General features: G+C 39.2%; 1 protein-coding gene across 30 annotated transcripts in view; it reads right to left on the reverse strand.

Moving 5' to 3' along the window:
- Positions 1 to 22,770, reverse strand: part of CDKL3 (cyclin dependent kinase like 3) — an 88,280-nt gene that overhangs the window by 23,119 nt on the left and 42,391 nt on the right. For 21 of the 30 annotated variants that reach the window (XM_024446091.2, XM_024446093.2, XM_024446099.2 and 18 more), the window contains 6 exons: positions 15,328 to 15,440; positions 12,895 to 13,034; positions 5,829 to 5,917; positions 2,111 to 2,264; positions 1,675 to 2,003; positions 146 to 239 (listed from right to left, as the gene is read on the reverse strand). In XM_024446091.2, coding sequence (XP_024301859.1) covers positions 146 to 239; positions 1,675 to 2,003; positions 2,111 to 2,264; positions 5,829 to 5,917; positions 12,895 to 13,034; positions 15,328 to 15,440 — 919 coding nt within the window. Of the gene's footprint in view, positions 1 to 145; positions 240 to 1,537; positions 2,004 to 2,110; positions 2,265 to 5,828; positions 5,918 to 6,947; positions 7,455 to 12,894; positions 13,035 to 15,327; positions 15,441 to 22,770 lie in introns of those variants that run through there. The other 9 variants (NM_001349365.2, NM_001349364.2, XM_024446105.1 and 6 more) reach the window with 9 other exon arrangements.

Consider the following 22,770-nt stretch of genomic DNA (forward strand, 5'->3'; position numbering starts at 1 on the left):
TCCAGTCTGGGCAACAGAGAGAGATCCTCTCTCAAAAAAACAAAACAAACAAACAAAAAAGTATTAGAGCCCTAAAGATAGAGAAAAGGAAAAAAGAAGTAATGTTAAAAGAGGCCATATTTTAATGTGTAGCTTCTTGCCTTACTTGAATAGGACCTGGATCCTCTTGCCTGCTATTAGGCATAACTTGTCCAATAGATTGTGAAGAAGTGCGTCTCTTTTTTGCTCTTTCAGTTAACCTATTATTTAAAAATGAATGAGAAGTTACTAAAACTCCCCAGAAATGCTTTTTTTTTTTTTTTTTTTTTTTTGGCAGATTCTCACTCTGTCACCCAGGCTGGAGTGCAGTGTCATGATCTTGGCTCACTGCAACCTCTGTCTCCTGGGTTCAAGTGATTCTCTTGCCTCAGCCTCCCAAGTAGCTGGGATTACTGGTGTGCTCCAACATGCCCAACTAATTTTTGTATTTTTTGTAGAGACAGGGTTTTGCCATGTTGGCCAGGCTGGTCTCGAACTCCTGAGCTAAAGTGATACACTCGCCTTGGCCTCCCAAATTGCTGGGATTACAGGCACGAGCCACCATGCCCGGCCGAAATGCCTTTGTTTTAGCTTCAAGAATGAATAAATTATGGCTTGGAAGTCTACTGTTTGAACACTGAGTACCAAAATGCAATAGTGAGTCCTTACCTACCAATTGCCCTTAGGAGAGAGGTGGTAACAGGGCAGAGAACAATTAGTGCATGTTTACATCAGTGGTGACAGGCATGTTGTGGGGTTACTCCTGCTGGCCTACTTGCTCCCTTCTACCTGTTCTGAATTTGGTTCTCTTAACTATCAGCTTTCTCAATTTATGAACTTACTGTCCAAGACTGACTGGCTTACAACCATTGTTACTGATACCATGGTTTTGGGATCACCTCAAGAACAACTAGGCTCTTGCAGTCTGTAACCTGCTGTACCTTTGGACTGACATGGACATGTCCACTTGCTCACCTCTGCAGACCACTGGGCTTCACAACCTGTGGCCCAAACCAGTCTGCTAGAATCCTCTTGGGCTAATGAACCCAGTCTCCTCCCCTAGAATGACAGTAGCCTCCCTAAATTTTGAAGTGGCCTTACTGCCTTGTTGGACAAACTCTCACCATCCATCACACTGCCCTTGATTAACCAGACTCATGGACCAGTCTCTCAATCTGTATCAGAGGTTAAATCTAAAACTGGCCTAATATGCTATTTTTCTCCCAAAATATTTCACCTTGAAAGGCTATTTGACTTACGAAAGATTATTTTTTTACTATCCTTTCTCCACTTAGAGAATTTGCTATGATACAGAAATAAATATTTTGTTATACCAAGGCACATTGATACCAGAACTTAGGACATACCAACTTTTTTTCTCTTCAAAAATAAAAACATTTTTCAAAGGGTCTTTTTTTTTAATAAGGTTTTTCAAGAAGACATTAGTGAAAATTTAAACATCTATATGGCCAAGAAAAGTTAATTTCTTCTACAGCATCCATAAGAAACACTCAGTAAATGGCCCATTATACAGCTTTAATTTCAATATATTTTCTTCAAGTTCAGTTTACATACAGACACTATGAACACGATTCTTTGAAATACCATTATACAGGAATGTTGTATTATTTAGGTTTCTTCTCTGTTACAGCTCACCTCACACTGGGGTGAAAGAGATTTGAACTGAGATTTGCAGCCATCAAATTACTGTTAGTTAGATTGATGGGTGGCATTGTCACAGAACCTCCGCAATGTGGATTTTCTTTCAAGCCATTACAGTTAGTGCTGGGATTGATAGGGTTTGGTGGTTCAATGGTTACAAGTTTTGTATCTGGAGACATAGGATGAACATTTTCATTTGCATCCTGTTGACCAAGTCCACCTTCATACTCTTTCTTTTTTGGTTCTGAGATATCTCCTCTTCCTCCTTTGACTTTAATAACTCTGACTTTGATCTCCTTGGGCTTTTTCTCTTTTTCTATTTCCTGGAATAGATACATCCAAAATCTGAGTCATCATAACAGTTATTTTTGTCATTAGAGTCTAACTATAATATAATTATACTGGCTGAAACAAAAACCAAAGTTCTTACCTTTCCCAAAACTGAACTACTTAGCAGTGTATTGGTATAAACTGTTTTTCTTTCATCTTTCCTGAGTTCATTTTCTTTAGAACTCTCTTTTGGCTTTATTAATGAATTGACTTTTGCTTCCTGCAGTAATTTAGCTTTCAGTTCTGGCATGAATCTGACAAAACAAGCAATATCAACGAGTAATCTTTTTATATATGCAGATGGAGTATTTTATCTTGAATAAACCATTTCATCAATTAATGTACATTTCAGCTACAGCATAAATAATGCTAACTATAATGCATGTCAAGAGATGGCCCAACATTTACCTAATAAAAATTGCTTTCTTCTAAAGATACATCTTTCGAAAATTATGCTATGGGAACCTACTATATAAAACTTTTACAAAATAGATTTATACTAATTAGATTCCTTCTGCGATGCAAACTTTACTCAGAAAAATATTGCTTTTAATTTTGATAAAGATACTGTTATTTTTAAGGAAGACTCAGACCACTTTGACCTTTTCTGTGGTTCTTCTTTTTTTTTTGAGATGGAGTTTCGCTCTTGTTGCCCAGGCATGAGTGCAATGGCACAATCTCATCTCGCCACAACTTTCACCTCCTGGGTTCAAGCGATTCTGCCTCAGCCTCCTGAGTAGCTGGGATTACAGGCATGTGCCACCACACCCAGCTAATTTTGTATTTTTAGTAGAGACGCGGTTTCTCCATGTTGGTCAGGCTGGTCTCCAACTCCCAATCTCAGGTGATCCACCTGCCTCGTCCTCCCAAAGTTGCTGGGATTACAAGCGTCAGCCACTGCACCCAGCTGTGGTTCTTTAAAGTAATAGAACTTTAAAAATGAACTAACTAACTTCTAAAATCTTACTCTAGAGAAATGTAACAGAATACCTTCATATTGGAGAGAGATTATTTTGGTTTTAGTTTGATTTCTTTCTTTTTAAAAGTTATTTTTGATTAGAAAGTCCATTCATGTGGTTCAAAGTTCAAAAGTCCATACTGAAAAGTTTCCTTCCCACCCCTTCCCTGAACTGCACAAGTCCCCTCCTTGAAGCAGCTACAGCTATCAGTTTGGGAAGGTTTTAAAACATCAGCCCATGAATGAATTCTTCCCTAGTCCAGCCCACTCTTCTGAGGATTCTATAAATTGAACTCAAGGTACTTTCACCCCACAATAATAGAAGCCTAATATCTAAATGTCCAAGAAAAATAAACTTCGTCTGTGTAGAAGTGATATGAAGCAACCTCTTAATTCAATAACTGGCATCTTTTCTTTTCAGACACGGTCTCTCTCTGTTGCCCAGGCTGCAGTGCAGTGACACACTCATGGCTCACTGCAACCCTGACCTCCTGGGCTCAAGAAATCCCCTACCTCAGCCTCCGTAGTAGCTGGGACTACAGGTATACACCAACACACCCAGATAATTTTTGTATTTTTTGTAGAGACAGGGTTTTGCCATGTTGCCCAGGCTGGTCTTGAACTCCTACGTTCAAGCAATCCGCCTGCTTCGGCCTTCCAAAGTGCTGGGATTACAGGCATCAGCTACCATGCCCAGCCAATAACTGCCACTTTTTATCAATGGCACTTCATTTTATTTTTTATTATATTTATTTATTTATTATTATTTTTTGAGACAGAGTCTCGCTCTGTCACCCAGGATGGAGTGCAGTGGCACGATCTCCACTCACTGCAAGCTCTGCCTCCCGTGTTCACACCATTCTCCTGCCTCAACCTCCTGAGTAGCTGGCATTACAGGGGCCCGCCACCACACCCAACTAATTTTGTTTTTTGTATTTTTAGTAGAGACGGGGTTTCACCGCGTTAGTCAGGATGGTCTTGATCTCCTGACCTCGTGATCTGCCCGCCTCGGCCTCCCAAAGTGCTGGGATTACAGGTGTGAGCCACCAAGCCCGGCCTATTCTTTTATTTTTTGAGACGGAGTCTGGCTCTGTCACCCAGACTGGAGTGCAGTGGTGTGATCTCAGCTCACTGCAGCCTCAGCCTCCTGGGTTCAAATGACTCTCCTGTCCCAGCCTCCTGAGTAGTTGGGACTACAGGCACATGCCCACGCCCAGCTAAGTTTTTGCATTTTCAGTAGAGATGGGGTTTCACCATGTTGACCAGGCTGGTCTTGAACTCCTGACCTCAGTTGATCTGCCCACCTTGGCCTCCCAAAATGCTGGGATTACAGACATGAGCTGCAGCACCTTGCCAATGGCACTTTAAATATATCATCTTATTGTTTGTTTTAGAGTAAAATTCCTGAAATGCGCAAAGTTCTAGTCACCCTCAAGGATTCTCTTCGCTTTTTTCTATTTAGTCTATCTCCAATAGCAGTTCCTGGACTCTTCCATATCTGACCTTAGCTCCATCACATTTTTAATGGATGTCCATCTTTCTAACGTCACGTCCAAAGACAAGCTGAATGGTTTTACAGTTAATGAGAAACTTTTCCTGTTTCTTTCAAAGCCCAAATAGAAAATGGTGTTTTTTTAGAAATATGGCTGATTCATGAATCTAAATTGTAATACAGATTATATGCTGGGCATGTCATAGGCAATGTGGGGCACAGAAGGGCCATAAGAAGCATGGCACCTGTCTTCAGGGAACTTCCAATTTCATGGGTAGGATACAACAACAGGCACTGCAGCCGGGCGCAATGGCTCATGCCTGTAATCCCAACACTTCGGGAGGCCAAGGCGGGTGGATCACCTGAGGTCAGGAGTTTGAGACCAGCCTGGCCAAAATGGCAAAATCCCCATCTCTACTAAAAATACAAAAATTAGCCAGGCGTGGTGGCATGTGCCTCTAATCCTAGCTACTCTGGAGCCTGAGGCAGGAGAATTGCTTGAACCCGGGAGATGGAGGTTTGTAGTCAGCCGAGATTGTGCCACTGCATTCCAGCCTGGGCAACAAAGCGAGACTTCATCTCAAAAAAAAAAAGACAACAAGCACTGCAACAGAGAATAAGTAGAAAAAAAATCATTTGGGAAGTGCATGCTAATTATGATAAATGAATGTCATCAGAAGAGGAAAAACCAGACTATTCTCTGAGTCAGAGGTCCAAACAGGAATAAAGCTAAGAAGTATTGATTGCTTATTTAATGTTATCTCTGGTCTATGATGACACTGAAACTGTAGTATGTAAAGAGCAGAGCACACTGCCTAGGACATGGTAACTGTGTAACGAATGTTAGTTGCAATTACTTTTTATTATTAGACTTTCTTTTTCTTTTTTTGAGATAGGGTCTCAACCTGTCACCCAGGCTGGAGTGCAGTGGTGCAATCTCAGCTCACTGCAACCTCCACCTCTGGGGTTTAAGCAATCCTCCCACCTGAGCCTCCCGAGTAGCTGGGACTACAAGCGTGTGCCACCACACCTTGCTAATTTTTGTATTTTTTGTAGAGACAGGGGTCTCTCTATGTTGCCCAGGCCGGTCGTGAACTCCAGGGCTCAAGCAATCTGCCTGCCTCAGCTTCGCAAAGTGCTGGGATTACAGGTGTGAGCCACTATGCCCATCCTATTATTAGGCTTTTCATTCGTGACACTTGTTAAGTCTGCTGTCTTCCTAGTCAATACCTGATACAATAACTCAATAAATTTTTGTTAAACTGAATATTTGTTATATAAAAGTAACCTATACAGCAATTTTCCTGCTAGTAAAATTTCCCAATACAAAATGCTTTTAAAAAACCCACATTCACTCAAAATGCTTACTTTTCAATAAATCCATCTCTAGTAAAATACTCATGATGCAAAAGATCACTAGATGATATCCTGTCAGCAGGATCAATTTGTAAACAAGCCTAGGAAAGGAAAAAGATTTTAATAAGTGAGCTCTCAACAGGGCTCCATATGGTAAAAATTAAATTTATTTGACAAATTAAGAAGTAAGTAATTATCCAGATCAAAAAGCCTTCTTGAAAAGATGGAATTAGACCTCAGGAACTTCTGGTAGTAAGTTCTGGCTGTTTATTTCCCTAAGGAATTTGCACTTGCAAAACATTATTATAGGTTAAATGTCCCATGATTCTAGCCAAAACAGAGGTCAGTCTGTTTCTGCTGAAATTAGCAAAAATTAATTAGCTCATTTTGATCCTCTTTTCTGCCCTGACAGGTGGAAAGTTCATGGATAATCATTTGCATTTTACAGATCTAGAAGCATGATTAGTAGTTTGCCAAACACGAGTTTTAACCCATGTTGTCTGACGCCTAATCCAGCACTCTTTCTATATCATAATACCATTTTGCAAATATTCAAGTCCCTAAATCTTTCAATAACCCATTATTAAATCAGCTCTTTTCTGTTTCCCTTTCTTGGTATAGAAACAAACAAACAAAATATGGAAGGTAGTTTTGAATGTTAAGTTGTACATAATAAATCTATATGTAGTTAAATAACAATAATTATAAATGGAACACATTTCTTTAATCAAAATACTGAAAACAGGTTTTCAATAAAAAGCATCTGCTTTATAATTTTCATTCCTCCTGTGAAAGGAGGTAAAACATTAATAGTTAACTTTTTTGTAGAGATGGGAGTCTTGTTATGTTGTAAGGCTGATGAACTCTTGAGTTCAAGCGATTCTCCCGCCTCAGTCTCCCAAAGTGCTGGAATTACAGAAGACAGCCACTGTGCTTGGCCTTTTAAAATTTTTTAGAGACAGGTTCTTACTCTGTCGCCCAGGCTGGAGTGCAGTGGTGCAATTATAGCTCACTGGAGCCTTGAACTCCTTGGCTCAAGATATCCTCCTTCCTTAGCCTCTTGAGTAGCTCAGACTACAGACACATGCCACCAAGCCTGACTAGTAACTTTTATTGATGCTTACTACATACCAGACAACGCTCCAGCTTTTTCTTCCTTCCATCGCAACAACAATCCTACAAAGTAAGTATTATTATTATCCTCATTATACAGATGAGGAGACTGAGGCCCAGAGAGATCAAGTAATTTGTTTAAGATCTCATAAGTAGAGGAGCCACAATTAAAATCCAGCAAATCCAAGATAATTGTATATAATATTATGTTTCTGTTTATTTCAAAATGCATATTTAAACTGATTCACAGAAAAAAATCTAGAGATCTGCTGTACTATAATGTGCATATAGTTAAAAATGCCATACTGTACACTTAATAATTTTGTAAGAAGGTAGATTCCATGTTATGTGGGGTTTTTTTTTTACCAAAATAAAAAACATTGATTCACAAGGAGAAATTATTTAAGTCTGTTACCTACTTAATGATGTGGCAATACCTAGGTCTTTAAGACTGCAACTAGTTGGCCAGGTGTGGTGGCTCATGCGTGTAATCCCAGCACTTTGGGGGGCAACAGAGGGTGGATCACCTGAGGTTGGGAGTTAGAGACCAGCCTGACCAACATGGAGAAACTCCGTCCCCACTAAAAAAAAAATAATACAAAATTAGCCGGGTGTGGTGGCACATGCCTGTAATCCCAGCCACTCGGAGGCTAAGGCGGAAGAATTGCTTGAACCCGGGAGACAGGAGGTTGCGGTGAGCCAAGATCACGCCATTGCACTCCAGCCTGGGCAAGAAGAGCAAAGCTCCGTCTCAAAAACAAAACAAAACGAAACAAACAAATTAAAAAAACCCTGCAACTAGTTAAAAATATGTGCTCATTTTAGAATATAATGGTAATCTATCACTAAAACTTATAAGAAAAATGCTAAAAGGTCTGACCAAATCATAGGGGCAGACAATTAGAGGCAGTCCTTCTGTGAATATAATTCAGTAAATTTAAATATATGCCCTACTTTGGAAAATGTAAAACATGACACTTTGGGAAACAGATTGGCAGTTTCTTTAAAAATTAAACATATGCCTACCCATGACCCAGCCATTCTGTTCTTAGATATTTCTGCAGGAGGAATGAAAATACAATGTGTGTTCCATACAAAGACAAACATGAATGTTCTCATGGCAACTTTATTTGTAATAGCGAAAAGTGGGAAATAACCCACATGTCCATCAACAGGGAAAGGATTTTTTAAAATGTGGTATAGTCATATAATGAACTACTACTCTGCAAAAAAGGAACAAATTGCTGATACATACAAAAACATGAATGAATCTCTAAACCATTATGCTGAGTGGAAGAAGCCAGACATGAAAGAGTGCCTACTGTATGCTTCTATTTATATAAGATTCTAGAAAATTCAAACTAATCTATGGGAATAGAAAGCAAATCAGTGGTTATCTGGGGACAGAAATGGAAGAAAAGATGAATTGTAAAAGGACACAATGAAATTTTGGAGAGTGATGGAAATGTTAGGTATCGTGTGTGTGTTTGTGTGTGTGTGTGTTAGGTATCCTGATTGTGGTGGTGGTTTCATGTGTGTATACATGCATCAAAACTCTTCAAATTGTACATTTTAAGTATGTATAGTTTACTGCCCACAAATTATACCTCAATAACATTGTTTAGAAAATTTATATCTAGGAAAAATATGTGCCCTACATCAGATATCAAAGTGTATTTTAAAGTTACAATAATAAATCAAAGTTGTACTACTTCTAGAATAAAGAGAAAAATCAATGGAACAGAAACAAACCCACACATGTATAAGCATTTTGTCTATGATAAATGTAGCATTCCAAATCATTGGATGATACTAGTTGTTAAAAAAAAAAGCATATTGCAAGTTTTGCAAACATATTGCAAAACTTATGACAAAAGATTAATGTGTTTTTTTTCACAAATCAATAAGATAAATATTTTAGTTGACAAATAGGTTAAGGATTATTTTTTTCTTTTTTTATACAGGGTCTTGCTCTGTCACCCAGGATAGAGTGCGGTGCTGCAAGCATAAATCACTGCAGTCTCAAATTCCTGGGTTCAAAGGATCCTCCTGCCTCAGCCTCCCAAATAGCTAGGACTACAAGTGGGTATCACGACACCCTATGTTTAGAGACCCTTTTGTTTAGAGACAGGGTCTCACTATGTTGCCAAGGCTGGGTCTGGAACACGTGGCCTCAAGCCATCCTCATGCCTTGGCCTCCCAAAGTGCTGGGATTACATGCATAAGCCACCACGCCTGGCCTAAGGATTCTTTAAAAAAAGAAATACAAATAGACAATGAATATTAGCATAATGTTTCTCTCTCCTGTAATGACATAAATACAATTTTAAAAAAGATACCTCCCAGCTACTCAGGAGGCTGAGGCGGGAGGATTGGTCGAGCTCAGGAGTTCAAGACTAGCCTGGGCAACATAGCAAGTCCTCATCTCAAATAACAATAATAATATCCAATGCTAGAGTGAGAGTGAGGATATAAATAAGAAAAATATTTCTGTGAAAAAAACAGCAAAATATCAAAAATTCTAAAAAGTATAAATCCTTTGGCTTACTAAATCCACTTCTAATATATATATTTTTTAAGACAGGGTCTCACTCTGTTGCCCAGGCTGGAGTGCAGTGGCACAATCACAACTCACTGCAGCCTCAACCTCCCAGGCTCAAGTGATCCTGCCACCTCAGCCTCCAAAGTAGCAGGGGACTATAGGCGCATGCCACTGTGCCTGGCTAGTTTTTTGTTTTTTGTAAAGACAGGGTCTCCCTATATTTCCCAAGTGGGTCTTGAATTCCTGGGCTCAAGTGATCCTCCCACCTCAGTCTTCCAAAGTGCTAAGATTATAGGCATGAGCCCCTGCCCCCGGACCACTTCTAGTAATTTCTCCTAAAAAAAATAAAACAAATGCATATAGACAAATACTAAAAAATTTTCAGCTGGATGTGGTGGCTCACGCGTGTAATCCCAGTGCCTTGGGAGGCCAAGGCAGGTGGATCACAAGGGCAGGAGTTCAAGACCAGCCTGGCCAAGACAGTGAAACCCCGTCTCTACTAAAAATACAAAAATTAGCCAGGCGTGGTGGAGTGTGCCTGTAATCTGAGCTACCTGGGAGGCTGAGGCAGAGAACTGCTTGAACCCTGGAGGCGGAGGTTGCAGTGAGCTGAGATCGTGCCACTGCACTGCAGCCTGGGTGACAGAGCGAGACTCCATCTCAAAAAAAAAAAAAAATTTTATTGTCACATCTTTACCAATAGCGGGGGGAAAATCGAAAATAATTCAAACGTCCAAAAATGCAAAAACAGTTAAATAAACTAATTGTATAGTCATACAATGAAATACTACGCAATCACTGAAAACTATCATGTAGTTCCATATTTATTAACATTATAGTATCTTTAAATGTACTGGTAAGTAAAAATAAACAGGTTACATAGCAATGTGTAAAGTAAGACACCTTTTTAAAAGCATAAATTTCTATGCATCTACTTGGTTGGGAAAACTTTAGAAGTTTGTAAACCAAATTGATAATAGTAATTTTTTCTGGATCATGTGAATTGGGAAAATCTGAACCTCTCCTTTTTGTTTACTGTGTATTTTATATTTTTTCTATAATTATTATGTATTTCTTACATTAAGTTGGTGCAAAAGTAATTGTGGTTCTTGCCACCACTTTCAAAATAAAAATAAATAAATAAATTTTGTACTAAATATGTTGGTATATGTATTACCTAGTTTAAATAAAACTTATGCTTTTATTTTTATTTATTTTTGAGACGGAGTTTCACTCTGTCACCCAGGCTGGAGTGCAGTGGTGCGATCTCAGCTCACTGCAACCTCTGCCTCCCAGGTTCAAGTGATTCTCCTGTCTCAGCCTCCCAAGTAGCTGGGACTACAGGTGCACGCCACCACGCCCGGCTAATTTTTGTATTTTTAGTAGAGACAGGGTTTCATCATGTTGGTCTGGCTCGTCTTGAACTCCTGACCTCAGGTGATCCACCCACCTCAGGTGATCCACCCGCCTCAGCCTCCCAAAGTACTGGGATTATAGGCACGAGCCACTGCACCTAGCCATTTTAAATAAAATTTAAATTTTGACCAGGCACAGTTGCTTATGCCTGTGATCCCAATACTTTCAGAGGCCAAGGAGGAAGGATCACTAGAGGATAGGAGTTCGAGGTTGCAGTGAGCAACGATCACACCATTGCACTCCAGCCTGGGCAACAGGATGAGACTGTAAAAAATAATTAATTTTTTTAAACAGGAACTGGCACTGTGGCACATGTGTGTAATCCCAACACTTTGGGAGACTGAGGCAAGTTAATAGTTTGTGCCCAGGAGTTTGAGACCAGCCTGGGCAACATGGAGAAACTCCATCTCTACAAAAAATACAAAAATTATCTGGGCATCCAGGCTACTCGGGAGGCTGAGTTGGGAGGATCAGCTGAGCTCAGGAAGTCGGAACTGCAGTGAGCCGAGGTGACACCACTGCATTCTGACCTGGGTGAAAGAGTGAGACCCTGTTTACAAAAACAAAACAGAACAAAAACAAATAAAGGCCAGGCACGGTGGGTCACGCCTGTAATCCCAGCACTTTGGGAGGCCAAGGTGGGAGGATCACCTGAGGTCAGGACTTCGAGACCAGCCTGACCGACATGGAGAAACCTCGTCTCTACTAAAAATTCAAAATTAGCCAGGTGTGGTGGCGCATGCATGTAATCCCAGCTACTTGGGAGGCTGAGGCAGGAAAATTGCTTCAACCCAGGAGGCGGAGGTTGTGGTGAGCTGAGATCGCGCCATTGCACTCCACCCTGGGCAACAAGAGCAAAACTCCGTCTCAAAAAAAAAACAAAAACAAAAGCAAAAATAATAAATAATAAATAAAAATTTAAATTTTAAAATAATAAAAAGGAGCTATATAATGTTTTTATTTTCTCCAGGTCAAGAAGGAATTTTGGCCTTGGTGTATCTTCAAACATTAAAACTACAGCTGCTCAGGTCCTGTAGATATTTTAGTACAAAAAATAGGTCCCTAACTGGGCTAAACTAAATGTTAAAAGGTAGTGATAAATACAGTAAGTCCTTAGAATTTCTCCAGTTTTTTGTTTGTTTGTTGTTTTTTTGAGACGGAGCCTCTCTCTGTCACCCACGCTGGAGTACAATGGCCCGATTTTGGCTCACTGCAACCTCAGCCTCCCAGGTTCAAGTAATTCTCCTGCCTCAGCCTCCTGCGTAACTGGGACTACCAGCACGTGCCACCATGCCCAGCTAACTTTTTGTATTTTTAGTAGAGACGGGGTTTCACCATGTTGGCCAGGATGGTCTTGATCTCCTGACCTCGTGATCAGCCCGTCTCGGCGTCCCAAAGTGCTGGGATTACACACATAAGCCACCCTGCCTGGCCCATTTCTCCAGTTTATACCTAATTATCATTAAAATAGAGATAAATTAAATATAATGAACATAATTATCTTAGGGGGCATTCAGCTCTGACAGTCTATGAATTTTAATTTCTCTGTACTAAAGACATAATTTTCTACAGTTTACATTACTTTAGGAATCCTTTTGGAATTTCATTAAAGTGATAATTAAAAACTGTATTATAATTTATGCAAATTTCTCAGATATAAATTCTTAATTTCTCAACATACATGAACTGCCTGGGTGCGGTGACTCATGCCTGTAATCCCAGCACTTTGGGAGGCCGAGGTGGGCGGATCACCTAAGCTCAGGAGTTCAAGAGCAGCCTGGCCAACCACAGCCAACACGGTGAAACCCCGTCTCTACTGAAAATACAAAAATTAGCCGGGCATGGTGGCAGGTGCCTGTAATCCCAACTACTCGGAAGGCTGAGGCAGGAGAATCTCATGACCTGGGAGTCAGAGGTTGCAGTGAGCCGAGATCACTCCACTGCACTACAGCCTGGGCGACAGAGCAAGACTCTGTCTCCGGGGGAGGAAAAAAAAAAAAAACATACATGAACTATATCTGCCAACAATCCATTAAGCTTTGGATATTTTTTTCTTGCATTTTTGGGGTGTTGAACTTGAGGAAGAACTACCCCAGCAAAAATGGGGCTCTTGGAAAAGATATTCTGCAAGTGAGGTGACAAATTGCCTGAAAAGAGAAAAAAATGTATATTTAAAAAACAGAGAAATAGTCTATAATCAAAACAATCAAATTGCTATGTCATCTATGTTAGATTACTAAAAACTGATACAAGGAAGAATGTGAATTATGTATTTTAATTTTTTGAAGTTGAATAAAAACTATCTGAACATGTCATAAAAAACTGAGGTTTCGTCAGTTATCTGCTGATAGCCCACAGGCAACAGAAGATGTAAAACCACCAGGTTTATTTGCTTTTCCCAAACTATAAGACATAATATGTAATGCTATCAGAAAATGCATATTCCAACTTTTACGCATTTCCATATGGGTATCCAAATGATTTTACTATTAAGTGTTCATCAGCAAAATACATTGAAACCTTACTCAAAACAGCTAAAATATTAAAGGTATGTAGAAATCAAAATATTGCAAAAAAAGAAACAAGGCTAGAGAGTAGTAGCAGAATGGAAAGAACTATAAATATGAGTGGAGGGAACTAAGTTCTAGCAGTTTTGCTATAACTAGTTCTGTGACCTTGGGTAAATCTCTTGCTTTCTTGTGCTTGGTTTTCTCATCTGTGAAATGATAGGATTAAACCCCACCATCTAAGGTTCCTTCTAATATTAATCTCTTAACTAGAACTTCTTAAAAGACACAAAAATGTGAGGTGTCTTAAGGCTCTAAACTATTTCTTAAATCAGTAATTATCCAGATTTCACTGTTTTTAGAATTGTTCATAGTATCTTCCTCATAATCCTGTAATTACAAATTTATGCATATCTTCCCCACCACACAAAGAGCTTCTCAAGCTCCTCATCCACAAATAATAAAAAACAAATCTTGGCCAGCCATGGTGGCTCACGCCTGTAATCCCAGCACTTTGGGAGGCCGAGTCGGGCAACATGGCAAAACCGCGGCTGCACTAAAAACGCAAAAATTAGCCGGGGATGATGGCACGTGCCTGTAGTCCCAGCCACTCAGCAGGCTGAGGTGGGAGAATCACCTGAGCCCAGGAAGTCAAGGCTACAGTGAGCCATGATTGCACCAGTGCACTCCAACCCAGGTGACAAAGTGAGACCCTGTCTCAAAAAAATTAAAATTTAGCCGGGCGCGGTGGTTCATGCCTGTATTCCCAGCACTTTGCGAGGCCCAGGTGGGTGGATCACGAGGTCAGGAAATCGAGACCATCCTGGCTAACACAGTGAAACCCCGTCTCTGCTAAAAATACAAAAAAAAGCCAGGTGTGGTGGCAGGCACCTGTAGTCCCAGCTACTCGGGAGGCTGAGGCAGGAGAATGGCATGAACCCAGGAGGCAGAGCTTGCAGTGAGCTGAGATCGCGCCCCTGCACTCCAGCCTGGGTGACAGAGCGAGACTCCCTCTCAAAAAAAAAAAAATTAAATTTAAAATTTAAAAAACCCACAAATCTTGAAATAGCACATTCAAGGCTAACCATCATAATGTTTTGGTGGCCAAAGCAGATCATCAAATAATTAAACTCTCATCAAACATATTCTTTTTTTTTTTTTTTTTTTTTGAGACTAAGTCTCATTCTGTTGCCCAGGCTGGAGTGCAGTGGCGTGATCGTGGCTCACTGCAACCTCTGCCTCCTGGGTTCAAGCAGTTCTCATGCCTCAGCCTCCTGAGTAACTGGGATTACAGGCACTCGTCACCATACCTGGCTAATTTTTTTTGTATTTTTAGTAGAGATGGGGTTTCACTATGTTGGTCAGGTTGGTCTCCAACTCCTGATCTCAGGTGCTCCGCCTGCCTTGGCCTCCCAAAGTGCAGGGATTACAGGTGTAAGCCACCATGCCCAGCCTTCATCAAATATGTTCTTGAATAAGTTATTTAGCTATCTGGCTGTCTATTATTGTTTTCTTTAAAAAGAAGGGTGGTTTCTGAGTAAATAATTACTTTTCTATTTCCAAGTGCTTTAAAAAAGCATCTGACTCAACTCTACTATTTAAAGTCCTTATATAAAGGTACAGATATTTGTAGAAGCCTAATTTAAAAACAACTTTTAGACAAATTAAAGTACATTCCTATTGTACTATTTTTCTTAGCATCAACCATCAACATATGGCTTAGCTATTTGCATCCTAGCAAAGAAAATATTATTTGCTAAAGCAGAGAATTTTCTGCCTTCTTTATCAGCCCAAGGAACCCATCTGCTGCCATCTATCAAAACAATATGCTTCCCTGTACTTACACAGAAAAGCTAAATTTGAAAATCAAGCAGAATTGATCTGGCAATATTTATTTTAGACATGTAACTCATGTTATTTCAGTAATACCTACCCACTTTCAAAACAATTTTATGGAGTAAATCCAAATCAGAACTACTAGGAAGATAGGGATTTCCAGTGGCCATCTCAATGATCATACAGCCCAAAGCCCAGATATCCACAGGTCTGAAACAGATCAGGGAAAAAAAAATCACTTTTTCATGTAGAAATTTATAAATATATTCTTAAAAATATGTTTAAAGAAGGCCAAGGCTAAAGAAACAAGTAGTATCATTTTAAGTTTTGTTTTGTTTTTTTTCGAGACCGAGTCTTGCTCTGTCACCCAGGCTGGAGTGCAAGTGCTGCAATCTCAGCTCACTGCAACCTCCGGGTTCAAGCAATTCTCCTGCCTCAGCCTCCCAAGTAGCTGGGATTAGAGGCGTGTGCCACCACATGTGGCTAATTTTTGTATTTTTAGTAGAGATGGGGTTTCACCATGTTGGCCAGGCTGGTCTCAAACTCCTGACCTCGTGATCTGCCCGCCTCAGCCTCCCAAAGTGCTGGGATTACAGGTGTGAGCCACCACGCCTGGCCCATTTGTAAGTTTTTATTGTAGATCATATACCGACTTTATAAGAATTGGTAATTGCTATATTGGTGAGGCTATAGGAAAGGAATAGTCCTAAGTACTGTTCTGGGAGTGTAAACTTATATGACTTCTTTGGAGGAAAAATTGGCAAAAGCCACCAAAATTTAAATTGTATATATTTTTTATTGTACAATTTTATTCCTAGGAATTTATCCTAAGATATACTCACATGTGTGCACAAATATAAATTATATGAGAATTTCACTGCAGCACTGTTCGTAGAAGAAAAAGATTGGAAACAACCTAGACCTCCACCTATAAGGGAATGGCTAAGAAAATTTTTGTACAACCCCACAATAAAATATTATTCATCTGTTAAAAATGATGAGGTCTGGCTGGACACTGTGGCTCATGCCTGTAATCCCAGCACTTTGGGAGGCCAAGGCAGGCAGATCACAAGGTCAGGAGTTCGAGACAAGCCTGACCAACATGGAAAAACCTCGTCTCTACTAAAAATACAAAATTAGCCGGGTGTGGTGGCACATGCCTGTAATCCCAGTTACTCAGGAGGCTGAGGCAGGAAAATCACTTGAACCCGGGAGGTGGAGGTTGTGGTGAGCCGAGATCATGCCATTGCACTCTAGCCTGGGCAACAAGAGCAAAACTCAGTCTCAAAAAAAAAAAAAAATTGATGAGGTAGGTCTATCTATATGTGCTGAAATGGAATGATCTCCAAGATAAACTGTCAAGTGAAAAAAGCAACATTCATGAAAGAAATAAAAGATCTAAATAAATGGAGAGATACTCCATGTTCATCAATAGGAAGACTCAATATTGTCAAGATGTCAGTTCTTCCAAGCTTTATGTAGAGTCAATACAATCCCAGACAAAATCCCAGTAAATTAAAAATTGATAATTATGTGAGGTAACACACATATGTAAATTAGCCAAATTTAGTCATTTCACAACGTATATATATACCTCAAAACATCATGCTGTACACAATAAATACATACAATTTAATCTGTAAATTTTTAAAAATCCTAGGAAATTGTTTTGTAGATATTGACAATTGATTGCAAAGTTTATATGGAGAGGCAATAGACCCAGAATAGCCAACACAATTTGAAAAAGAACAAAGACTGACACTACTTGACTTCAAGATGTTTTATACAACAAGCAAGATAGTATGGTATTGGTGAAAGAATAGATAAATAGATCAAGGGAACAGAATAAAGAACCCAGAAATAGACTTGCACAAATGTGCTCAACTGATTTTTGACAAAGGAACAGAGGCAATTGAATAATAAGATAAAAAAAAGACAGTCTTTTCAACAAATAGTGCTGGAACATACAAAAAACTGAATCTAGACACAGACCTTATCCCTTTCACAAAAATTAACTCAAGATAGATGATAGACCTAAATATAAAATGCAAAACTGTAAAACCTCTAGACAATCACATAGGAAAAAATCTAGATGGCCTTAGGTTTGGTAATGAGTTTTTAGATACAACACCAAAAGTATAATTCACAAAAGAAAAAATTGATAGTTAGAACTTCACTAAAACTAAACTTTTCTGCTCCATGAGAGATACTGTTAAGCAAATAAAAAGACAAGCCACAAACTGCGAGAAAATATTTGCAAAATAATAAAGAACTTGTATCCAAAATACATAAAACTCTTAAAATTCAATAAGAAAATAACCCAATTAAAAAATGGGCAAAATATAAGAATATACATTTCACCAAAGAAAATATACAGATGGCAAATGGGCATATTAACAGATGCCCAGTATCATATGTCATCAGACAATTGCAAATTAAAACAACGAGATACCACTACACACCTATTAGAATGCCTAAAATCCAAAATACTGACAACATCAAATGCAGGTGAGGATGGCAAACAACAGGTACTCTCATTCATTGCTGGTAGAAACACAAAATTACACAGTCACTTTGGAGGACAATTTGACAGCTTCTAACAAAGCTAAACATAGTCTTACCATACAACCCAGCAATTGCTCTCCTTGGGATTTACCCAAGTGAGTAGAACACTTCTGTCCACATAAAAACCTGGACACGAATGCTTATAACAGCTTGCTTCATAATTGCCAACACATGGAAGCAATAAAGATGTCCTTCAATAGGTGAGTGGATAAACAAACTGTGGTACATACATACAATGGAATATTATTTAGCAATAAAAGAGAAGTGAGCTGTCAAGATACCAAAAAAAAAGGAGGAACCTTAAATATATATTGCTAGGTCAAAGAAGCCAGTCTGAAAAAGCTACATACTATGTGATTCCAACTATATGATATTCTGGAAAAGCCTAAAGTATAGTAACAGTAAAAAGACCAATGATTGCCAGCAGTTCTGGGAGAGGGACGGAAGAATAAAAACGAAGCACAGAAGATTTTTAGGACCATAAAATTATTCTGTATGATACTATAATGATGGATACATGACATTATACATTTATCAAAACCCAGGAAATACAACACAGAGTAAACTCTAAACTATGGAATTTAGTTAATAATGTTCAATATTGGTACATCAATTGTAACAAATGTACCACACTAATACAAGATGTTAGTAATAGAGAAATGTGTGGAGTAGGGTGGAGGGGACATAAGGAAACTACACTTTCTGTTCAATTCTTCTGGAGCCTAAAACTGGTCTAAAAATTAAAGTCCCTGAATATAAACAAATAAAAAGTGGCAGGGCTTGGTGGCTCATGCCTGTAGTCCCAGCTACTTTGGAGGCTGAGGCAGGAGGATCACTTGAGCCTGGGAAATCAAAGCTGCAGTGAGCCATGAGTATGCCACTGTACTTCAGCCTGTGAGACAGAATGCGACACTGTCTCATAAGTAAATAAAGAAGAGTGGGGAGGGAAACCAAGATTCTATACTATGTATATAGTATGTTCCTATTTCTGTTCAAAAGGAAGGAGATGGAGAAGTATGTGTATGCATGTGTGTATACTGCTAGATAATGACCTAAGAAATAAAGGAATTAATTATAGTATATACAGTTTTTCAGATCTACATTATAACCATAGATGATATAATAGTAACTTATAAGCTTGCTTATTTCACAAGTTTTAAGAATTTAATGAATATTAGTAAGTTTTAGTGAGAATAAATAAAATTAAGACCAAGTTTTGGATCTTTTGGTGAATACACATATGTGTATGTTCAGCTTTAATTGTTATTTAATAACAGTTTTCCAGAGAGATTGTACAAGTTTACATTTCCCCACCAGTGTTATGTGAGTTCTAACTGCTCCACTTACACTGGTATTTACTGTCTTTTTTTCAATTTAACCATTCTGGTGGTTATATAGTGGTACCACTTTGTGATATAAGTTTGCATCTTTCTGATGTCTAATAAAGATGACCTTTTGCATTTAAAAAAAACTCTCAAGCTTTAAGTTAATTGTTATTATTATTATTTATTATTATTTTTTTTGAGATGGAGTCTCGCTCTGTCGCCCAGGCTGGAGTGCAGTGGCGCGATCTCGGCTGACTGGAGGCTTGGCCTCCCAGGTTCATGCCATTCTCCTGCCTCAGCCTCCCGAGTAGCTGGGACTACAGGCGCCCATCACCACGCCTGGCTTTTTTTTTTTTTTTTTTTTTTGTATTTTTAGCAGAGACGGGGTTTCACCGTGTTAGCCAGGATGGTCTCGATACCCTGACATGATCCGCACGCCTCGGCCTCCCAAAGTGCTGGGATTACAGGCGTGAGCCACTGCACCATGCCAAAGGTAATTATTTTTAAGTACTCTCTCCACAGAATGCAATTTCTATGCACCTCCTCCACTACCAAAAGAGACACTAAAAATATTCCTACACAAAGCAGTTCACTTTTCCCCAGCTTGACCTGAAATTTCACAGTACAATTTAGTAAGGTAATCCATTATCTGCAGAAATTTAAAGCATTATCTAGGCAGGCCTTTCAAAGAGCAATAGAAGACAGACCACGTCTAGTTAATTATCACTGCAGCAGTAATCTTAAAGGGATCCCCTATTTTCTGAAATACGAGCAAGTCCTAGTTAGCTATAGAGAAAACCTCTCCTCTTCACTTCAACCACAACATTTTGCAGAAAAAGAGCTGTCCAATAGGAAAAACGAAAACAAAATTAACCTACTAAGGAAAGTAAAGGTATTAGACTCGAGCCTTGATCAGGAAAAGTAGATCCAAAAAAGCTTAGGTCTAACATGTAGGGGTAAGGAAGGATTAAAAAAAACAAACAGAGGTATGAACTTCTAGCATGACAGAGTGAAGAGATCAGCTGACTTACTCTCTTATTAGTTTATCACTGAAACTAGTAAATTTTTTTTTTTAAGATGGAGTTTCACTCTTGTTGCCCAGGCTGGAGTGCAATGGCGCAGTCTCAGCTCACTGCAACCTCCGCCTCCCAGGTTCAAGCGATTCTCCTGCCTCAGAATTATTTTTTTAAACACAAATACTTAAAGCGTGTGTGTATATATATATATGTGTGTGTATATATATATATATATATATATATATATATATATATATATATATATATACACACACACACATAGTCCTTATAGTCCTGAGGCTAAGCATAAAATGAAGATTTATTTATCCTCTAAAAACTATGCAATTCAGTATAAGAAAGATGAGTCTGTGGCACCTAAACCAAGACAACTTTTTCCTTCCCCACTCTCTGCCTGGTGAGGCAAAGACTCCACTCTAGGGCTCCCTCTTCCTCCAGCTCCCAGTTGAAGAGCTTTCTTCCCAGGAGGAGTGGAACTTCACCATTTCTCATTATTCTCCCAGCTGCCTGTTGCTGAGGCTAAGTTCTGGGTGATTAGTGTCAAGAGGAGGGAGACACTCTTCCAACCAGCCCCTGTTCATGGAACAATGGTTCTACCTTGAATGCAGTGCAGAGAATACTGGGGCCCAAATTGCACTTGCCTCACCCATAAGGCAGAGGTTTCATGCCAGGAGAAGCAAGCTGAGGGGACCTCAGGTTGCTGCTCTCCATATCTCACTAAGTAGTCACCTCTTAAGAGCAACAGTATAACTTAGAGAGAAAATTGCCATGAATTCAACCCAGATCCAGAAACTGGGCTCAGAGATTTTGCCTGGGGGAAGAAGCAAGCCATAAATTAGATGGCTCCTAATCCCTTTCAAAGGAATTGACATCATTTGCAACAGAGTGTAGAGAAGTTCCAGCCTAAAGGTATTCTCAACCACAGTACAGAATGTGGTGAAAGACAACTGGGTGGAGATTTATCAATTTAATGAACCTGCAGTCTAGAGTACAGGCCAGCTAGCTTGTGGGAAAGAACCAGGGAATAACACAGTTAGGAGATGCTTTCCTGGGGCCAGGACAAATATTAAATATTGAGCACAGAAACTACTCCTTCAAAGGAGCCACAATTTGATTGGAACAGTTTGTAGAGCTATTTAAGCCCCAAGGCAATGTTGAAAATAATAGAGCACAAAGCTATCAACGAGTGGAGTTTAACAGCTAGGAGTAGCCAGGGAAAGAAAGGAAGATAAACCTATCAATACCACTGTCATCTCAGAGTGACTGTGAGCCTACCCAAAGCTGTGCCTCCCTGAGGAGCAACTAAAGAGGTTTAATACTGTGTGTGTGGGTTGGGGGGCTGGGGGTATTGGCTCCATGAAAATAATTTAGCCAGTCGCCATGATACAAACAAGCAAATAACAGTAACAAGTCCCAGAAGGAGGGGTCCCATACCCAGAGTTCCCACAGGATGTTATCTAAAATGTTCAAGTTCCAACAAAAATTACACAGCATGCAAAGAAATCTGTGAGAGATGACCCATACACCAGAAAAACTGCAGGCAACCCAAACTGCCTATAAGAGTAACTACATGTTGGATTTAGCAGAAAAATATTTCAAAATAACAATTATGAATATGTTCACAGAACTAAAGGAAAGCATGATTAAAGAAGAAAGGTATGACAGTGTCACATCAAATATTAGTAGAGAATATCAATCAAGAGATATAAATTACATGTATATATGTATAAAGAAGAACCAAGTGGAAACTCTGGAGTTGAAAAGTACAATAACTGAAATTTAAAAATTCACGAGAGGAAATCAACAGTAGATTTAAACAGGCAGAAAAAATAATTCATGAACTTGAAGACAAGACCAATAGAAATTATGTAAGCTGAAGGATAGAAGGTAAAAGGAATGAAAAAAATAACAGAGCCTCAAGAGAAATGTGAAACACCAAAATATGTATACTAGGAATATAAAAATGAGTGGGGAGAATAGAAAAATATTTTATAAAATAATGGAGAAAAACTGCCCACATTTATTGCAAAACAATAATCCACAAATACAGGAAGCTCAACAAACTCCAAGAACAATAAGCACAAAGAAATCCACAAACTAACACATCATACAAAACGAAAATCTTGAAAGCAGCATGAGAAAAACAAATCATCACTTACAAGAGAACTTTGGTAAGATTAACAACAGACTTCTTAATAGAAACAATGGAGACCAGTAGATAGTGGTACAACAATTAAAAGTGCTCAAAAAAGACCTCTCAACAAAAACGCCTATATCTAGCAAAGATATCTTTCAAAAATGAAGGTGAAAGTTAAGACTTTCCAAAATAAACAAAAACTGAGAGAATTTGTTGCTAACCAATCCACCTCACAAGAAATACTGAATGAAGTTCTTAAGACTGAAAGCAAGTGACCCCAGACAGTAATTCAAATCCACAGGAAGGCCAGGTACAGTTCCTCATACCTGTAATCCCAGCACATTTGAGGGCTGAGGTGGGAAGATTGCTTGAGGACAGGAGTTCGAGACCAGCCTAGGCAATATAGTGAGACTTTGTCTCTACAAAAAAATAAATTAGGTGGGTGTGGTGGCACATGCCTGTAGTCCCAACTATTTGGG

Source organism: Homo sapiens, chromosome 5 (genome assembly GCF_000001405.40).
Source record: "Homo sapiens chromosome 5, GRCh38.p14 Primary Assembly".
NCBI classification, from domain to species: Eukaryota; Metazoa; Chordata; class Mammalia; order Primates; family Hominidae; genus Homo; species Homo sapiens.